The sequence below is a fragment of the Homo sapiens genome, chromosome 3, assembly GCF_000001405.40.
Source record: "Homo sapiens chromosome 3, GRCh38.p14 Primary Assembly".
In the NCBI taxonomy this organism is placed as follows: domain Eukaryota; kingdom Metazoa; phylum Chordata; class Mammalia; order Primates; family Hominidae; genus Homo; species Homo sapiens.
In genome coordinates this window covers 133,442,279-133,461,362 of record NC_000003.12, presented here as the reverse complement: position 1 = coordinate 133,461,362, position 19,084 = coordinate 133,442,279, and the positions used below count along the sequence as shown (strand labels likewise).

Here is a 19,084-nt window from a genome sequence, read left to right as displayed (position 1 = left end):
CATGTCGACATTTTGAAACATAATAAAGATTTTCAAATTTCAAAAATTTCAAATTAAATTAGCATGTTTTTGCACATGAAGGATGTGAGAAGAGAAAAGCAATGTGTTCTAAGTAAGTAATAATTAAGTATTTGAGAGCCTGACTCTTGAAGATACAAATGAGGACTGGGAAAGAGGAAAAGAACCATCTCCAAGTCCAAGCCTGACCCACTTTGCTGATTAGGATGGCCATTCCTAAAAACACCCTTGGCAATGACCCAGAACTGACAGAAACGCTACCTTTGCAATGTGAGGGGAAGGCGAGTGTTCAGGAGGAGGGAGAGTGAGGAGAGAGAATGTTGATACTTCCTGGTCTTTGAAATTGCAAGTGCATTCTCAGCAGATCATGTATCCAGATGAGCTGTCTGCCTCATGTGTCTTCTGCCTTTCACTAAGCAGTTGCTGTGCAGGTTTGAGCAAGTCACTCGAGCACTCTGGTTTTTGCAACTGGTGATCAATTGCTTTATATGAGCATTGTTCTACTGCAGAATGCAGCTACCTGCCTTGGCTCTTAAGCACTTTTCAGATTTCATGAGATCATGCTAATCTCATCGTGCTGTTCATGGAGAAAGGTAAACAATGGTCCCGTGGGAATACAGGGGTTCCCTATCTTGTGTCATAGAAGAATCCCACAAGGAGGGCACAGACGCTTGGTTTGAAAAGCTCCCAACAGAAGTCTGGCATAACTTTTAGCCCCCCGGGGACAAAGGCCTCTCCAACCTCACATTCCACAAGATGTCACTTATTTATTCTTAAAAAAGAAATCAGCTGGGCATGGTGGCTCACATCTGCAATCCCAGCACTTTGGGAGGCCAAAGCAGAAAGATTGCTTGAGGCCAGTAGTTCAAGACCAGCCTGGGCAACATACTGAAATCCTGTTTCTACAAAAAAATCTTTTAAAAACCAAATTAAGGTCCCCCCATTCATGTGGTCTGTCCAGTTCAAACTAACAGTTAAGAGTGTGGATTCTGGAGTCAGAATGTGTAATTTGAATCCTAGTGTTGCCACTTTCTAAGTGTGTAATTTTGGGCAAATTACCTAACCTCTTTGTGCTTCAGTTTCCTCCTCTATAAAATGCTAAAATCGCAATACCTATCTCATGTTGGGAAGATTAAATGAGAACGTACCTGTCGGGTGCTTAGAACCCTTGGTAGATGCTCCATAAAAGCTTGGCTGGCTCTGCTTTTGTGGAAAATTTCATCCTGCCTTGTATAAGAGTAGCCTTTCTACCCATTTCTTGCCTCCCACAGGTACACCAGCCAACATCCACACTGGACTGTGGGTTCCTTATTTATAGGAACAACTTCTTACTCACCCCTCTGCCCCTTTTGGAGACCTAACATAGCTTTTTACACCTAGAATGTGCTCAACAATATTTACTGAAGGTTTACAATGTAGGCCAGGCACATGCTAGGGACTAGGGAAGAAGAGGAGGATCTACCAGGAATAGGATGAGATCAAATCTCCTTTTCATTAAGAGGATCAGCTATCGTTATTATAACAGTTGTAAGTCATTTTACAGTTACGTGGTGTCATATGTTATTTAGCTAAGGATAGCTTTTGACAGGCAGCACACACTCCCGACCTTCCTCAGCCAGATGTAGGATTTATTTGGGAGAAGGCTGGATGCCATCCAGTCTGCACTAGCAACATGGGCTCTCCTCAGCGGGGATTAAAAAGAAGTGCACGCCTCACTCAATGAAACTTCAACACTGGCAGAGGAGCTGGCCCGGCTGGGCTACAAGTTTCTCTGTGAGTTTACACAAGAACTGCCCAGCTATTGAAGCTGCTGTTTGAGTGTAGGACCAATTCCCAGCCTCCGTTGGAGCTGCCAAACAAAACACAGAGGAGTAAATGGCTTTGTGACCTTGCTGCCCCCTTGTAATAAGTAAGCTCATCCTCTTGATAAAATCAGCTGAAGAGGCTCAGCAATGAGTCTAATTCTAAAGAGAAAAATAGATTTTTCTATTATTTTATTTTGAGACGGGGTCTCACCCTGTTGCCCAGGCTGGAGTGCAGCGATAAGATCATAGCTCACTGCAGCCTCGACCTCCTGAGTTCGAGCAGTTCTCCTGCCTCAGCCTCCTGAGTAGCTAGGACTACAGTTGCGTGCTTCTACACCTGACCAATTAAAAACATTTTTTTTTGTAGAGGTGGGGTCTTACTATGTTGCCCAGGCTGATCTCAAACTCCTGGCCTCAAGGGATCCTCCTGCCTCCGCATTCCAAAGCACCAGGATTACAGGCATAAGCCACTGTGCCTGGCCAGTCCTTACACTTTTTATGGGAAAAATCTGTTAAAAAATATCTAAGGTATGCTTTGAGATCAGCACAGTCAGGTAGTCTGGGACGAGCGTTCTTTGAAGTCAGGGACTTCAGGAACCATAGCATCAAGTCAGGGCCTTGCACCTGGTTTGTCCTTGACAAACAGATTTTGAATGAATAAGTGAGTGGAGATTCCTTGGTAGAAGATGTAAGAAAGAGGTTGCAATGTTGGGTGATCCCCTATGTAGTTACCCAGATATTGGTAGTCAACCAGTTGTGAGTTTAAACACACAACATAAGAAGATAAGGGCCTGAGAGAGCGCTCTACAATGTCTGTGTTTTTTTGTTTGTTGTTTGTTTTTTTGAGACAAAGTCTCACTCTGTCGCCCAGGCTGGAGTGCAGTGGAGTGTTCTTGGCTCACTGCAATCCTCCACCTCCTGGGTTCAAGTGATTCTCATGCCTCAGCTTCCCCAGTAGCTGGGATTACATGTGTGTGCCACCACACCCGGCTAATTTTTTGTATTTTTAGTAGAGACGTGGTTTCACCATGTTGGCCAGGCTGGTCTTGAACTCCTGACCTCAAGTGATCTGCCTGCCTTGGCTTCCCAAAGTGCTGGGATTACAGGAGTGAGCCACCACACCCAGCCTGTGTGTTGTCTTAACTAGAGAAAAGAAGAGGCAAAGAGTAGGCAGTACCTACCTCAATGAGACAGTCTTTTGGTTTTTCCTTTTAAAATCTGCTCTGATTCTTGATTTTCCCTATTCTCTTTGCAGCCGCACCAACTGGTATATGCTACTATAGCATACAACTACAGTAACCCAAATGGGCAAAAGATATGATCTGCTAGTACACACAAAAGCAATTTGTAAGAAATGCATTTTAACCCATAGTATTAGCAAAGATCACAAAGTATTGGTGAAGATATGGGGAAATGGACACTCTCAAATATTTCTGATAGAAATGTAAATTGTTATAATCTTTGTAGAGAGCAATTGGCAATATTTATCAAAATTACCAGTGCACACACTTTTGGGGCCAACAATTCCATGTCTATAAGTTCATTTAACAGATACATTTCTATATATGGAAATGAGAGGTATACCATGTTAGTGACTAATTTCTTCTAATAGCAAAAGATTGGAAACCACCCTCAGTGCCCAGCAGTAGGGAACAGGCTAAACAAATTCTGGGGCATCTGTTAGCTAGAACAGAGGTTGACAACTTTTTCTGTGACTAGCTAGATAGTAAATGTTTTAGGCTTAGCAGGCCATATGGTCTCTGTTGCAACTATTGAACTCCACTTGTGTAGTGCAAATGCAGCCATAGATGATATGTAAATGAATGTGATGGTCATGTTCCAATAAAACTTTATTTGTAAAAACAGGCAATGGGTCAGATTTGGCTTGTGGGCCAGAGTTTGCTGCCCCCTGTGGTATAATATCATACAGTCATAAAGCAGTATGTTCTGAATACTACTTGTGTAAAAAGACAGGAAAAAAAATATATATATTTCTTTGTATATGGGTAAAATGTTTCTGAAATGACATACAAGAAAAGGATAACATTGATTGACCCCCATAGAAAAAAACGGTAGCTAGGACATGGGTTGGATAGCACTTTTCACTTTATATCTTTTGTATGTTTTGAATTTTGAACTAAGTGAATGTATTATCTATTATACATGTTGAAATAAAATAAAAGTCAATTTAAAAAGACATAAAAGCAAACAGGGCCCTTTTGTGAAGCTCTCTGTGAGATTCAGAGATATGAAGATGCTTCGGGATCCCCGTTCAGTGTTTGCCTTGAGCACACTGGCTACAGCCATGGCTTATTTCACTGAAGAGCCCTCAGGGAGTCCAGCCAGCTCATTGGCACACAGGAGCCTCTAGATTACAGATGCTGTCAGGCGTCCTGCTTTTGCTGTTCCCCTGGAAAGGAACTTTCCCAGGTGGTTAACATGGCAATAGCACAAGAGGTCATCTTGTAGTCTAGAGTCAGAGTGGCAGTGCCTGTTTTAATTCAGCTTCATATATCTTAGAAAATATTGACTCTTGTTGGTAAAAGCAAGAATAGAAAAAGTCTAGACAGAGTAGCTTGTATAAAATGTCTGTGTTTACAGGGAAAATTATTGTTTGTAAGTGTAGATGACATGGAGAGATGCTATTCAAGGTTTCTATTCTCCTCGTGGGTAAATCTAGACCTATGCTGTCCTCTAATAGAGCAGTCACTAGTCATCTGTAGCTGCTGAAATAAAAATTAAACATAATTAAAAGTTAGTTCCTCAGCTTTATTTATTTATTTATTTTTGAGACAGAGTCTCACTCTGTTGTCCAGGCTGGAGTGCAGTGGTGCGATCAGAGCTCACTGCAACCTCGACCTCCTAGGCTCAGGTGATCCTCCCATGTCAGCTTCCCAAGTAGTTTCCATGGGACTGCAGGCACATGTCACCACACCTGGCTAATTTTTGTATTTTTGTGGAGACAGGGTTTTGCCATGTTGTTTAGGCTGGTCTTGAACTCCTGGGCTCAAGCGATCTGCCCACCTTGACCTCCCAAAGTGCTGGGACTATAGGCATGAGCCACTGCACCTGTATAACCCCTTGAGGCCAGTAGCTACCATACCGGATTGCTGCATGGATTATAGAATATGCCCATCATTGCGATATTTCAGTTAGATGGCCCGGCTTTAGATGATCTTGAATGTTTCTTTTGGCCTTAAGACTATCAACAACCAGAAACCTCACAATTCATTTCAATCTATTCACTTGTCTTCATTCTTAATAGTTTGCACAATCTGTCATCCTGACATGTGACATGAAGGCATGATGGTTACAGCTCAGATAAAGTTCCTGACCGCAGATGCCTCAAACTGACCTGAGGCAAGTGCAGACCTGCTGTTAGAGAAGATAGCATGGGAGCAATCCATTTGTTCCTGACCCTGGGGACTCTTAAGACAGACTGAGTTCTCTCACATCCGGGCAACCACCAACTTGTGCTGGTGATTGATTAAGCCTTTGGGTATTGTATACATCAACCAGTTGCAGCAGGCAAGGGATGGAGAAATGAGGCCTCTGGGAATGAAAGTGTGGAGTCAGCTTTGGGCAAATGGAAATTGAATGGAAGGAGCATCTCAGGAAGAAGGCTAAGAAGGCAAAACAGAGCTTGCATTGCAGGAGGCAGACTTCAGACCAGGCTTAGGGTGAGGGAACAAAGACGTCTCAGTGCCCCGGCTGAGAAATTGGACAAGAAAGACGGGACCCGTGCTCCCCTACAGGAGGTGGGCTGAGGGCAGAGCTGTTTGCCTGGCAGAGGAGGTGAGATGGTGGGGGTTTGGGGAGGGGCAGAGTTTTAGTTCTCTGCTCAACACTGAGGGGCCTGGTAGGCAGAATTCTAAGATGGCCTCCATGATCTCTGCTCTCTGGTGTTATGTCCAATGATTAAATTATGTTAGATGACAAGGATGAAGAGATTTTGACATGTAATTATGGTTCCAAATCAGCTAAATCTGAGCTGATCAAAAGAGGAGTATCTGAGTGGGCCTGACTTAATCAGATTAAAGGCTTAAAATGGTAATGCTTTTCTGTTGGCCCTGAAGGAGCAAACAGCCATGTTGTAAATGGCCTCTGAGGAGGACTGGCCTCTAGGAGTTGAGGACCTCAAGCCTACATCTGCAAGGAATTGAACGATGCCAAGAACCCGAACAAACTCTGAAGATGAGAATGCGGCCCTGGTGGGTACCTTGATTGCAGCTTTGTGAGACCCTGTGATGATGCAGTGTAAACAAACCTATTGCACTGCCAGTCATATAAAAGTCTAGCACATACAATTATGTGCAGTGCATAACACTTGCTAACAATAGTAAATGTTACTGGTTTATGTATTTACTGTATCTATACTTTTTATCATTAGCATACTCCTACTTATTAAAAAAGAAAAATAGTTAACGGTAAAACAGCCTCAGGCAGGTCCTTCAGGAGGAATTCCAGAAGAAGGCATTGTTGTTACAGGAGCTGAAAGCTCCACACATGTCACTGCCCCTGAAGACCTTTCAGTGGGACAAGATGTGGAGGTGGAAGACAGTGATATTGACGATCCTGACCCTGTGTAGGCCTAGGCTAATGTGTATGTATGTGTCTTAGTTTTTAACAAAAAAAGTTTAAAAGGTTAAAAAAACCCCCTCTTAAAAATAGAAAACAAGCTTATAGAATAAGGATAAAAGAAAGAATATTTTTGTATAGCTGTATGACGTGTTTGCATTTTAAGCCAAGTGTTATTATAATAGAGTCAAAAATTTGGAGTTGGGGACTCTGTGCCCCTTCTCACATACGTTGCCTTAAGCATCTCCTCCATTTGGCTGCTCCTGAATTGTATCCTTTATAATAAGCTGGCAAAAATATGTAAAGTGTTTCCTTGAGTTCTGGGCACTGTTCTAGCAAACTATCTACTTATCCCTCTGCAGAGGAGGTTGTGGGAACCCCTAATTTATAGCCAGTTCATCCGAAGTATGGGAGGGCCAGACTTGTCATCTGAAGTGAGGGCTGTCTTATGGGACTGAGCCCTTAACCTGTGGGATCTGATACTACTTCAGGCAGGTAGTGTCAGGATTGAATTGAATTATAGGACACTCAGTTGGTGTTTGGAGATCTGCTTGGTGTGGAACAAACCTACATATTTGGTGTCAGAAGCATTTTGTAAGAGCATAGGGGACAAAAAGGATTTTTTAAAAAAGAGATGGGGTCTCACCATGTTGCCCAGGCTGGAGTAGAGTGGCTATCCATAGGCATGATCATAGTGTACTTCTCCTTTGAACTCTTGGCCTCAAGCAATCCTCCTGCCTCAGCCTCCTGAATAGCTAGGACTACAGGCACATGCCACAGTGCCCAACTTAAAAAAAAAGTTGTTTTGTTTTACTTGACTAACTAGGAGGTCTAGAGTGTGGTGTGGCATGTTGTCTGAGGTTCCTGAAGCATCCCTGAGTACCCTGCATTAGGTAACCACAACAAATAGACAAGGAAGAACTAGACTTTAAGACCCTCCAGAAATTCTCTGGACCAATCTGATCCTGTCATCACTGAATCATACAACTTCAGAAGCTTCAAAAACTGGACCATGAGGTTCCTGACATTCGTAACACCATAGCTGGAAAGAATATGAATACTGCACTGACCTTAGCCAGAACCTCTTAATAAATTTTTTTATGTCTCTATTTTATTAAGCTTTTAATGACTGAAAAAATAAACAGAATTGGCAGATAAGTTCTAGCAGATGCTGATGGTACCACCTTTATCCCTTAGGCTTTCGCAGTTTAGTGCTCTCCTGTTCCCCCTGCCAGATTCTGCATCTTTTTGCCTGAGAGTTTCTCTGAAGCCTTTGGAAGGCCACTCTGATAGCAGATGGCAGAAAACTGTTGGGAGATGGTATTAACATCTCAGCTCCCTTGCCTTTCCCCTCTCCTGTAGTCTATACCGTTTCTCACAATTCTTCTTGGTTTACACGTCAGTCTCCCACAGTGGTAACTGGTTTGATTAGGCATTCTTTGTTGGTTCCCTTCTTTGCTTCTCCTCTACTGGTATTTTGTTGGTTTTTAACTCCCCAACTTCCAGGTAAACTACCTTAACTCCAATATTTGTTTCAGGATCTGCTTCTGAAGGAACCTAAACTAAGATATAAATTAATCATGTTAATTAATTTTCAGCCTCTGTGGTCCGAAAGGTAATTAAATGCATGCTTGCATTTTCTTTACAAAAGCTTTTGAAAGCTGTGTGTGCTAAGCCATTTCACATTTATGCTATGCCGCCAAGAAACCGACAAGAGATGCTCAGGATGGGCAAATGTCAGCCCCTGAGGGCACAACTGCAACTGACAAAACTATTTATTGGAGGAATTCTGGCTGTCAGTTCAGATCTCTGTTGATGATCAGAGGAATTCACTCATTCTGCAAATATTTTCTGAGCTCTGCCTTTCTGCAAGAGGCCCAGGCAGCATTGGCCAAGCTAAAACAAATACTGTCTGTTTTCTCTGAGATGTAGCTTTCAGATTACTCTATTAAAAAAACACTAATGAATCTGTTCAGAATTAATGTTTGAGTTACTGTTGGGCTAGTGATGATTCTCCAAGGGGTGAGGAGGAGATAATAATGACCTTTTTTTTTTCTTTTTCATACTATGAAGGATTTATTTCTGATAATTATAATAGTCTGTCCTTTCCCAAAGAAACAGTTACCACAGTGTGGTGCACACCGCAGGAGGGCTGGGACAGAAGCAAAGTTTGCAAACTGCTGGGCCTCTGAGGTTTAGCTTTAGAAGCAGAGCCAGGGGAGAAACGATGCAGCCCAATGCAGAGAAAAGGTCTCTGGACCAAGAACAGGAGAGTTGAACTATGGAGCTCTCAACCAGCTGTGTGATCGTGGGAAGTCACCTGCACTCTCTGGGTCTCAGTTTCCTCACACCTAAAATTAGGGAATGGGATCAGATGGTCTCTAGGACCATTAATTATCTGTTATCTGTCATGAGTCTGTTAAAAAAGGCAATGGACCAAACTCAAATCTATGGCTTCACTTTACCTCTGTGTTGCTCCACTTCTCATCAGGTTGGGTGGGGCGAGGGGAAGTCATTTTTTGAATAACTAGGCTCTATTTGCCATAAAAAAGTGTTTGTAGTGACCTGGCTCAATGATTGGTGGTTAGAAAGAAAGGAAGCTATTGAAACGGGGTAGGGGTTGGAGAAATGGGTGAGTGAAAGGATGTTTTCTAGGCTGGAGAACATTTTGGGAATCCAGAATTGATGAAGACCCTGCTGGGAAGGTTCTTGTTGATACTTGGGGGATAGAGGGAGTATGGTGGGAGAAAGGACAGAAAAGCCTCTCCTATTTTTCTTTTCATAGCTTTTTATAATTCTTATGGTTCTCAAATCTGGCTGCATATTAGAATCATCCAGAGAGCTTTAAAAATCACAAAGTCCCTCTCCTCTGTCTGATTTGGTTGGTCTGGGATGGCGATTTTTGAAAATGCTCTGAAATAATTCTGCTGCGTAGCCAGGATCAAGAACCACTAAATAGTAATCAAGAGCTCAGAAACAGCCTTTTGCCTTAACTCAGACATCTACCTTATTTTCTCTACTTTTCCACATTTTCCTTCCTTGTCACTTTTCATCCTCTGTCTCAAGATTACAAAGTCAGAAATGGGTGGGAGATGGAGAAGGGAAGAACAAACCCTATGCATCCTATTTTCTGGTTAATTCCTGTATTATTTATGAGGTTTAATAAAAGTTGTTTTTCTTCCATGAATATAATGTATACTATTTAACAAAAACTTGAGAAATACTCAAAAACAAAAAAGAAAAAACATCTCAAAGTGTCAGACTGATCCATCACTCAAAGGCAACGACTGCTAATCCCATTTTAGTCTTTTCTTTCTAAAATTTTTTCTCAATGCCTAGTTTCTTTGTTTGAATGCTTTACCCTACTGTATATACCAGGAAGTGGCAAACTGCAGTCCACAGGCCAAATCCATCTCACCGCTTATTTTTGTAAATAAAGTTTTATTGGAACACAGCTATGCTCATTAGCTACCTATTGGCTACAGCTGCTTTTACACTGCAGTGGCAGCGCTGAGGAGTTACAACAGAGGCCATCTGGCCCAAGAAGCCTGAAATATTTACTGTTTGGTCCTTTACAGAGAATATTTTTTGGCTTCTGGCATATACCATTCTGTACTCTCATTTTCTCCTCATTTTACCTCATATTATGAACACATTCCTATTTTATAAATGCTTCATAAACATTAATTCTAATAACTGCCTGATATTTTACTGCACATAGGTAGGTTGTGGCTTAGATTTTCTTCTACTAGTAAATGTGTATGTTTTTTTCACTCTTATAATGCTTCAGTGAGTATATTTGGACACAGATGATTTATTTTTTCAAATATTCTTTTTTTTTTTTTTTTTTTGAGACAGAGTCTTGCTCTGTTGCCCAGGCTGGAGTGCAGTGGCCCAATCTTGGCTCACTACAAGCTCCGCCTCCCAGGTTCACACCATTCTCCTGCCTCAGCCTCCCGAGTAGCGGGGACTACAGGCACCTGCCAATGCGTCCGGCTAATTTTTTGTATTTTTAGTAGAGACAGTGTTTCACCCTGTTAGCCAGGATGGTATCGATCTCCTGACCTCATGATCCGCCCGCCTTGGCCTCCCAAAGTGCTGGGATTACAGGCGTGAGCTACCACGCCCGGCCTCAATTATTCTTTCAGGATTGTATTCAGATTATTCAGTTGGTAGCTAGGGGCATTTTAACACTCTTGGTGCATATTACTAAATTTCTTATTCAAAGGCAGTGCACTAGTTTATGCTCTTCAGTAATACAGTAGAGAACCTACTTCTCCACATACTTGCCAGCATTTTTACCATTTTAAACATTTTCTACTTTTAGATAGGTAAACAAAAAGCTATTATTTTAATTTTCATTTCTTCTGTTTCTAATGAGGTTGAACTTGTTACTAAACCGTTGTTATTTCTTCGTCTGCACATTGACTAGTTTGCAGCTCAGCGTGGCCTCCTTCTGCATAGGGCAGAGTGGAGGATGCTGGTCCTGCCTCTCACCTTAGCTTGGAGCAGGGCTCCTGCCTCCACCCGGTTCTTTTCAACATCTCTCTCCCACTGAATTCTGATCGTCTCAAGGATGTCGTCCAGACCAGTGCCAATGGGAGCATCCATTTGTTCCAGCTCACACCCTGCCAACTGTTTGTGCAGCAGCTTCACATCCTGAAAACAACAATATACATCTTAGATGAGTTACGGGGGGAAATAAATGGCATAGAATTCTAGCCAGCAGAAAACCAGCTCTGTGGGCAATTCTTTTCTCATTCCACAACTGCCAGACACAGGCTTCACAGAGACTGGGAAAGTCCCTGACCTTCTTCCCAGCGTAAGTGTAATTTCTCTTTTCCCAAGGATGCATTTCTCCCTCTCTCCCTCCCTTCCTTCCTTCCTTCCTTTCCTTCTCTCTCTTTCTTTCTTCCTCCCTCCTTCCCTCCCCCTCCCTCCCTCCTTCCTTCCTTCCTTCCTTCCTTCCTTCCTTCCTTTCCTTCTTTCCTTCTTTCTCTTTCTCTCTCTCTTTCTCTCTTTCTTTCCGTCTGTCTTCCTCTCTCTCTCTCCTTCCTTCCTTCCTTCTTTTTTTTGACAGGGTCTCACTCTGTCACCCAGGCTGGAGTGCAGTGACATGATCTCAGCTCATTGCAGCCTCCATCTCTTGGGCTCAAACAGTCCTCCCACCTCAGTCTCCTGAGTAGCTGAGACTACAGGCACAGGCACGGCACACACCACCATGCCCAGCTAATTTTTGTATTTTTAGTGGAGACAGGGTTTCACCATGTTGCCCAGGCTGGTCTTGAACTCCTGGGCTCAAGTGATCCCCTGCCTTGGCCTCTCAAAGTGCTGGGATTACAGGCTTGAACCACCATGCCTAGCACCAAGGATGCATTTCTTAGGTTGGTCTCCACAAGCCCAGGCCCAAAGCAGAAATCAAAATAAAACAAACAAACAAACAAACAAACAAACAAACAAAAAACCACATGTATACATATGTAACTAACCTGCACATTGTGCACATGTACCCTAAAACTTAAAGTAAAATAAAACAAAAACAAAAACAAAAACAAAGTAAGCAACAACAGCACAGGGCATTTATGCATAAAGCCAGACAAGGATGAAAGAGACTTAAAAGATAACTTTGGCATCTCTAAATGGTTACTGTTGGAGAGTAGTCTTAAATCACTGAGCTAAGAACAAGAAGAAATGGGCTTACAGTTGCTGGTTAGCTTAAGTTGGTCTCAAGAAAGAACTTCCCAATGTGAGCATCGTTAAGTGGGTTTTGACTCTTTCAACTTGAAGCAGCCTAAATCTTGGATCAGACAGTAATATGTGTGAGGTGGTTTAGAATTGCTGAAGTCTCGCAGGGAACTAGACCCCATAACTGTTGGAGGTCCTCTTCAGTTCTGTCACTCAATAATCTGACCCAGTTTTGTTAATGAGTAGATGTCAACCACAGCTTGGATCTACCCTCAGAGTTGTTTTGTTTGTATAATACAGTGTTGAAAAAAAAACCTGACATAGAATGCATTGAGGAGGGGTTGCTCCCTCTAATTTAACACAAGTTCCCTCATTTGCTAGTGCCAAGACTGGCTGCCTTCCCCTGTTTCTGTACCACACTGGTTCCTGAAGCTATTTGAGTTTGAGACTGCTGGGGTAACCTGACCCACTTCAAGGATCTGAAAGTATTTTACAGGTATGTTCCCTGCAGTCCTGGGCACGCAATGTGGAGAGTCAGAAATGAGCTACTGTGGCCTTGTTATGAAGCACAGGCAGACAGATGTGAACTTCTGGTCTTGTGGCCAACCCAGCAACCCCAGCCCCCTCCTACCTCTTCATAGTTTCTTGATAGAGAGCCAAGTTCTTCTTTCAGACTTTCTATTTGACTCTCCAGGTCCATTTTAGTCAAATTAGCCTCATCAATGACTTTATACAGAGAGTTAATTTCCTCTTCTGCCGCCTTTCGAAATGGCTGCTCATTTTCATATCTGCAGATAAAGGAACTTAATTAGCATAACTGAGTAGCCCAAAAGAAAAAGAATCAGATTATAAATGTTACCAACAGGCCAATTATGTGATAGTTAGACAATGAATGGTAAAAGTCACTGTTTCAATAGATTTGAGGGCACTGTTAGTGCAGTTGTCACACATTGATTTATTAAAATGAAGGCAATTGCAGCCAACTTCTGATAACCTGGCTTCCCGGGCTACCAGCCTCATGGGAGTGTTGCAACACAGAACTCCAGGGAAAACTCAGGAGTTCAGATCCAGGTTAGGGGATCCGGCATCTTCATCGCTATCCTGATTGTCCTCCTTTTCAACCAAGGATCCTTTAACAAACATTACTGACAACCTGCTAAGCACCAGGGTGGGGACCCCAAAATAAGAAATGTGGTTTCTGTCTCCAAAGCACCCATGTTAAAAGTGTCCATCTCCAGGAGAGTGGCTGCAAACCCAGATGCCTTCAGGGACTGAGTGGGAGGTGTAGCTGAGCACGGTTCTCAAGCCTGGATGCACATTAAGTCACCTGGTGAGCTCTAAAACTGCTGAAGCCTGGACCCAACCCCTGGGGACTCTGATTTAATTAGTCTATGGCTTGTGCACTGCACTGACATTTTTAAGTGCCCAGGTAATTCTGATATGCCCAGGTTGGAGAATCATTACTGTAAGCTAGTAGTTCTCAAAGTATTTGAGTCCCAGGACCAGCAGGATCAGCATCCCTGGGAACTTGTTAGGAATATAAATTTGGGGCCCTTCTCCAGACCCATTGAGTCAGAAATTCAACAGGGTGGGGCGCAGCAATCTCTGTTTTCTATATGGCCCCTGGGTGATTCTGAGCATTCCAGAGTTTGAGAACCCTGCTCTAAACCAACTGACAGTGGGCAAAATCTTTGAGCCCTTGGGGCCTACTTTATGTTTACAAGGAGGGGTGTGAGCTGGATAATCATGGCTCTGTTATCCTGCCAGCTTCCCCTGAGGTAGAAGGTGGATGATGCAGGCTCCAGAACAGCATTATCCACACTTGCCTAGGAGTCTAGGGATGTGGAGGGACTGTCGCCTCTGCTGTAAGACATTACCTCTCTTTAAAGTCATCTGCTCCGGCCTGGATAGTTTCTGTCTGCAGCATGAGCCGGGCATTTTCCAAGACTGCCTCACCCACCTAGAGCGATCACACACACCAAAGGAGACAAGGTCACTGGGAGCGTCAAGATCACTTACCACCATGACTTGTGTTAGGCACAGAGGCTCTGGGGGACCTCAGAGAACCTTTCTTACAGCAAATATTTGTGGAATTAAGATGTCCCTCTCTTTGGACAATGGTCAGGGTGGGGGGATATAAATAATAAGGCATAAAATCTGGATATCTTCTAAGAGTTTTTAGAGTGGGATTTTTGGCACAAAAAGACTATTCAAAGGCAGACTTGTTCATAGCCTCTGTCACAGTGACAAGCTTTCATCTCTCCAGGGCAGAGTCCGGCTCCTTAGATGAAGTTTCACTGGCTTTGCCTAGCAGCTCTTAAAATTTCTGGTCATGGATGCCTTTGGAAGGCTGGTGAAAGCTCTAGATGAGTGCTGAGAGAGCTTCCTGTGACGGTGGAAATGCTCTGTCTGCACTGTCCAGCATGGTGGCCACCCGTGGCTACCGTATTGGGCAGCGTGGCTCTAGAGTTTCGTCTCCCCCAAAACATACACGTGAACATAAACATTGTGGATATAGTTTAGGGGTTTCATGGAGCCTTGAGGAGTGGTTTTTCAAACTTGAATCCCCAAGCCTCTCAGGATCTCCCACAGGTAGGGAATGAGGGGTGTCCTCCCTTCAACCCAAGAAACTCCTTTATATATATATATATATATATATATATATATATATATATATATATATATATATATATATATATATATATAAATGGTGAGCTGAAGGCTCTGATAGGGGGAGCCTGCAGGGTGGAGCCAAATCCCAGCTATGGGAGAAGAAAATAACTGCTTTCCCCTTGCTCCAGTGTGGCTGTCTTATTTTGTTTCATTTCATTGAATTACTTTTTTTGTTTTTTCTTTGAGACAGAGTCTTGCTTTGTTGCCCAGGCTGGAGTGCAGTGGCACAATATCTGCTCACTGCAACCTCTGCCTCCCAGATTCAAGATATTCTCGTGCCTCAGCCTCCTGAGTAGCTGGGATTACAGGCATGTGCCACTGCGCCCAGCTAATTTTTGTATTTTTAATAGAGATGGGGTTTCACCATGTTGGCCAGGCTGGTCTCGAACTCCTGACCTCAAATTATCCACCCATCTTGGCCTCCCAGAGTCCTGGGGTTACAGGTGTAAGCCACCAAACCCTGCCATTTTCATTGAATTCCCCACTAGCAAAGCTAATCATTTCTGTTCCAGCTTGGCCTGGGGCACACTGGGGAGCAGGCAGACTAGGGTGTCTCCCTTTCCCAGTTCTTAATCACTCCTGTCTCTCACCTCTGGTGCCTGGAGTTCTCCTTCTGGTTGATAAAGAACTTGCAACTCATTCACATTTAAGTATCAAAGGACTAATATTGGCTTAAAATAGTGATTTATATCCTTCTTTTAAGGTAACAATTCCTACCCTCCAAAATTAAAGCTTATAGAAAACCTATGTACAGTTGTCCTTTGGTATCTATGGGGTCTTGGTTCCAGTCCCCCACGGATGCTCAAGTCTCTTATATAAAATGATGTAGTATTTGCATATAACCTACACACACATCCTTCCATATACTTTAAATCATCTCAAGATTACTTATGATACCCAATACAATGGAAATGCTATGTACATAGTTGTTATTTATTGTGTTATTTAGAAAATAATGACAAGAAAAAAGCCCACATGTTCAGTATAAACGCAATCATCTATTTTTTAAAAAATATTTTGATCTACAGTTGGTTGAATCCATGGATGTGGAACCCATGGATGTGAAGGACTGACTGTACTTTGCACTAGTGGTTCTCAAAGTGTGGGCCCTGGACCAGTGGCAGCAGCATCACCTGGGAACTTGTGAGAAATGCACTTTTCAGCTCCTGTTTCAGATGGACCTATCAGAATCTCTGCAGGTGGGTCCCAACAATTTGTGTCTCAGCAAGCTTTCCAGGGGCTTATGATGCATACTCAACCTTGAGAACCCCGGTTTCACATGGCCCTGCCCCCAGGCCTGCTCTAGCTGCCTCCCTGCTGCACCTGGAATCCCTCTGTGCCTTTGCACCTGCTGCCTCCATTGAGAGCAACTTGTTTCACTACCTCCCCACTCCCAGCCCTCAGTCTGAGAAAGCCTGCTCCAGTATAATGCTCATTTCAAACACGGCTTCCCCATGAAACTTTTCTATTTATTCACTCATTCATTCTTGCCTTAATTTCTTCAGCACATAATTACTGTTTATGCCAGGCTCTGTCCTGTTTGTTGAGAAACCAGCCGCTACTGTAGGAGATGAGGTTAAAAAGGTAGACAAGACCAGACCATAGAGGGAAGGCCTTGGGCACAATGGAAAGGAGTTGAGATTTACTGGGAAGCCTTTGAAAGGGCTTGAGCAGGTTACAGAGGTGATCTGTGCACTAAGTGGACCCTCTGACTACTGTGGGAAGAGAGGATTGGAGGAGGCAGGAGAAGATGCCAAAGAACCAGTCGGGAGGCTCTTGCGGTGGTCCAGGGAGCCCATTTTATTAATGATGGTGGCCTGGACGAACGATGTGATCATAGGGTAGGTGGAAAAATGTGGACTAGTTTAAGATGCATTTGGGGGATAGAACAGTCGGTTCTTTGTGGTGCAGTAGTTATGGGGAGAGTGAGGGAAAACAATTAGGGGTGACCGCTCCGTTTCATCCTGAGCTGTAGAGAGCATGGTGGGGCCTTTGCTGATTCTCTTCCTCCCTCATTGGCTGGTTCCTGCATCTGAGTCACAGCCCACCCCTGTGGCACATTATCCCTCTCTTACCACATTTAGTATAAATACTTTGTAGACAACGACAGTGTTTTCTTATTCTGGAAACTGGCTCCTCCATTCACAAGCATGGGTCAGTTGCTTAGAGTAAGTAATTCTAAGATTTGGTTTCCTCCCCCATAAAATGAAGATAATAATACTCCCTTCCTCCTGGGAGAATTAAATGAGCCAAGGTGTGTGAGACTCAGCGTATGTGTGACTCAGCAGATTGCCTGGCACAGAGTAAATATTGCATGAACGGTAGCCATTATCATCATTGTTATTTGTCTTTGTACAAAGCAGTTGTTCAATGAATGTCGAATGAATTTGATGGGTTTGTGCAGTCTGGCACTGATCCTGCTTTACTTTTCTGAAGTGCACAGGCAGTTGAATGAAGACTTCCATCTAGTGGCTTGATATATATATATGTATATATATACATATATATTTTTTTCCTTTGTTTTTCCTGTCCATAGTCATCTGAAAAGTCCTAGTCATTTGTACCATGATGGTGAGGACTTTATCTCTTTCTATAATACTACTCCTGTTTTCACTGCGGATGTAGTTATTAAAATAAATGAGCTGGTGGTGGTGGATGAGAGATTTGACCATCATTGTGTTAAAGGAAAGGCAAATACAAGCAGCGTTTTAAAAAAGGTTATCATTTGGGCCCAAGGGTACAATGAATGGTTTGTTTGGAGTAAAGATATTGGCATTCTGGCAGCTAGAGCTGCAGGTGTGGGGAGGAGGTGGGTAAGACTGAGCTCCTGGGAAATTAAACTCAGCTGGTGCAGTGGCAAGATGCAAGATTCCCTTGGAAACCCTTCCCACATTTATTTGACTTTCAAGTTTAGGATGGATGTTCAGCATAACTTGCTTCTAGCAATAAAGGAATGAGAAATAATTCTCAGTCCCTAGCACCCCAGTGATACTGCTCTTAATAACAAGGCCACCGTATTACCAAGCCCGGCAGATGCTTCTCTGTGCTCATATTGACCTGCTGGTTGCATTTGTCACAGATGTACTTTTCTGTCTCGGCTTCCATGACACCACTCTCTCTGGACTTCCTCCTACTTCATTGACCATTCTTTCTTATTATTCTCTGCTTCACCAGGTTTTTCTTCCTTATCTGACCTCTAAATGTTAAAGTTTTTCAAGATTGGGTCTTGGTGCTTCTTTTTTTTAATCACTAAATGGTCTGATCTATCCACACAGATTTAAATGGCATTGTATGTGCTAATGACTTTCACATTTAAATGTCTATCTCAGAACTTTCTGCTCAGCTCCACACTTGCATACTCACCCTCTCTTTGAGGTCTTCACTTGGCTATTTCTCAGACATCTCAAACTTAACATGTCCCCGAATGAAAATCTAGATAATTTTGGCCGGGTGCGGTGGCTCACGCCTGGAATCCCAGCACTTTGGGAGGCTGAGGTGGGTGGATTACCTGAGGTCAGTTGTTCCAGACCAGCCTGGCCAACATAGTGAAACCCCTGCCTCTACTAAAAATACAAAAAATTAGCTGGGCGTGGTTGCACGCACCTGTAATTCCAGCTATTTAGGAGGCTGAGGCAGGATCATGGCTTGAACCCAGGAGGCAGAGGTAGCAGTGAGCTGAGATCGCACCACTGCACTCCAGCCTGGGCAACAAGAGTGAAAATCCATTAAAAAAAAAAAAAAGAAAATCTAGATAATTTCCCCACAAATCTTCCCTTTCCCCACCACCCCTTGATCCTCTTCATCTCAGTAAACAACCCCAATGTCTACCCGGAAACCAAGGGATCATCTTGATCTCTCACTTTCTGTCATCTCCCACATCTCATTTATCACTGAGTCTAGTCAATTCTACCCCCACAATGTATCTCAAATCCATTTATTTCTCTCTACCTCTCTTGACATCACCCTAGTGCAAGTCCCCATCATGCTCTCCTATCCCATTATAATATCCCATTGTAATATCCTTCCAACTCCCTGATCTGTACCTCCCTCCTCCAATGCATTCTGCATCCTGCTTCCAGAGTGGGCTTTTTAAACTCTTAAAATCATATCATGTCACTCTGATTAAACTAAATTAAAACTCTTCAGAGGGGCTAGGTGTGGTGGTTCACGCCTATAAGCCCAGCACTTTGGGAGGACAGGGTGGGTGGATTGCTTGAGCCTAGAAGTTTGAGACCAGCCTGGGCAACATAGCAAAACCCTATCTCTCCAAAAAACAAAACAAAACAAAAAAACAGAATTTATCCAGGTGTCATGATGTGCACCCA

At 43.2% G+C, this 19,084-nt stretch overlaps 1 protein-coding gene and 1 long non-coding RNA gene across 15 annotated transcripts in view; one reads left to right on the top strand and one right to left on the bottom strand.

The window, feature by feature from the left end:
- BFSP2 (beaded filament structural protein 2) overlaps positions 1-19,084 on the bottom strand; it is a 75,153-nt gene that overhangs the window by 13,846 nt on the left and 42,223 nt on the right. For both annotated transcript variants that reach the window (NM_003571.4, XM_017007315.2), the window contains exons 2-4: positions 13,964-14,046; positions 12,718-12,874; positions 10,899-11,060 (exon numbers count right to left, since the gene is read on the bottom strand). In NM_003571.4, coding sequence (NP_003562.1) covers positions 10,899-11,060; positions 12,718-12,874; positions 13,964-14,046 — 402 coding nt within the window. The remainder of the gene's footprint in view (positions 1-10,898; positions 11,061-12,717; positions 12,875-13,963; positions 14,047-19,084) is intronic.
- Positions 1-19,084, top strand: part of BFSP2-AS1 (BFSP2 antisense RNA 1) — a 64,708-nt gene that overhangs the window by 29,747 nt on the left and 15,877 nt on the right. For 4 of the 13 annotated variants that reach the window (NR_189056.1, NR_189064.1, NR_189062.1 and 1 more), the window contains exon 2: positions 5,900-6,034. The exons of 3 other annotated variants lie outside the window; for them this stretch is intronic. This is a non-coding gene — a long non-coding RNA (BFSP2 antisense RNA 1). Of the gene's footprint in view, positions 1-5,340; positions 5,619-5,899; positions 6,035-12,467; positions 12,583-15,787; positions 15,959-19,084 lie in introns of those variants that run through there. 6 more of the 13 variants (NR_189059.1, NR_189060.1, NR_135278.2 and 3 more) reach the window with 5 other exon arrangements.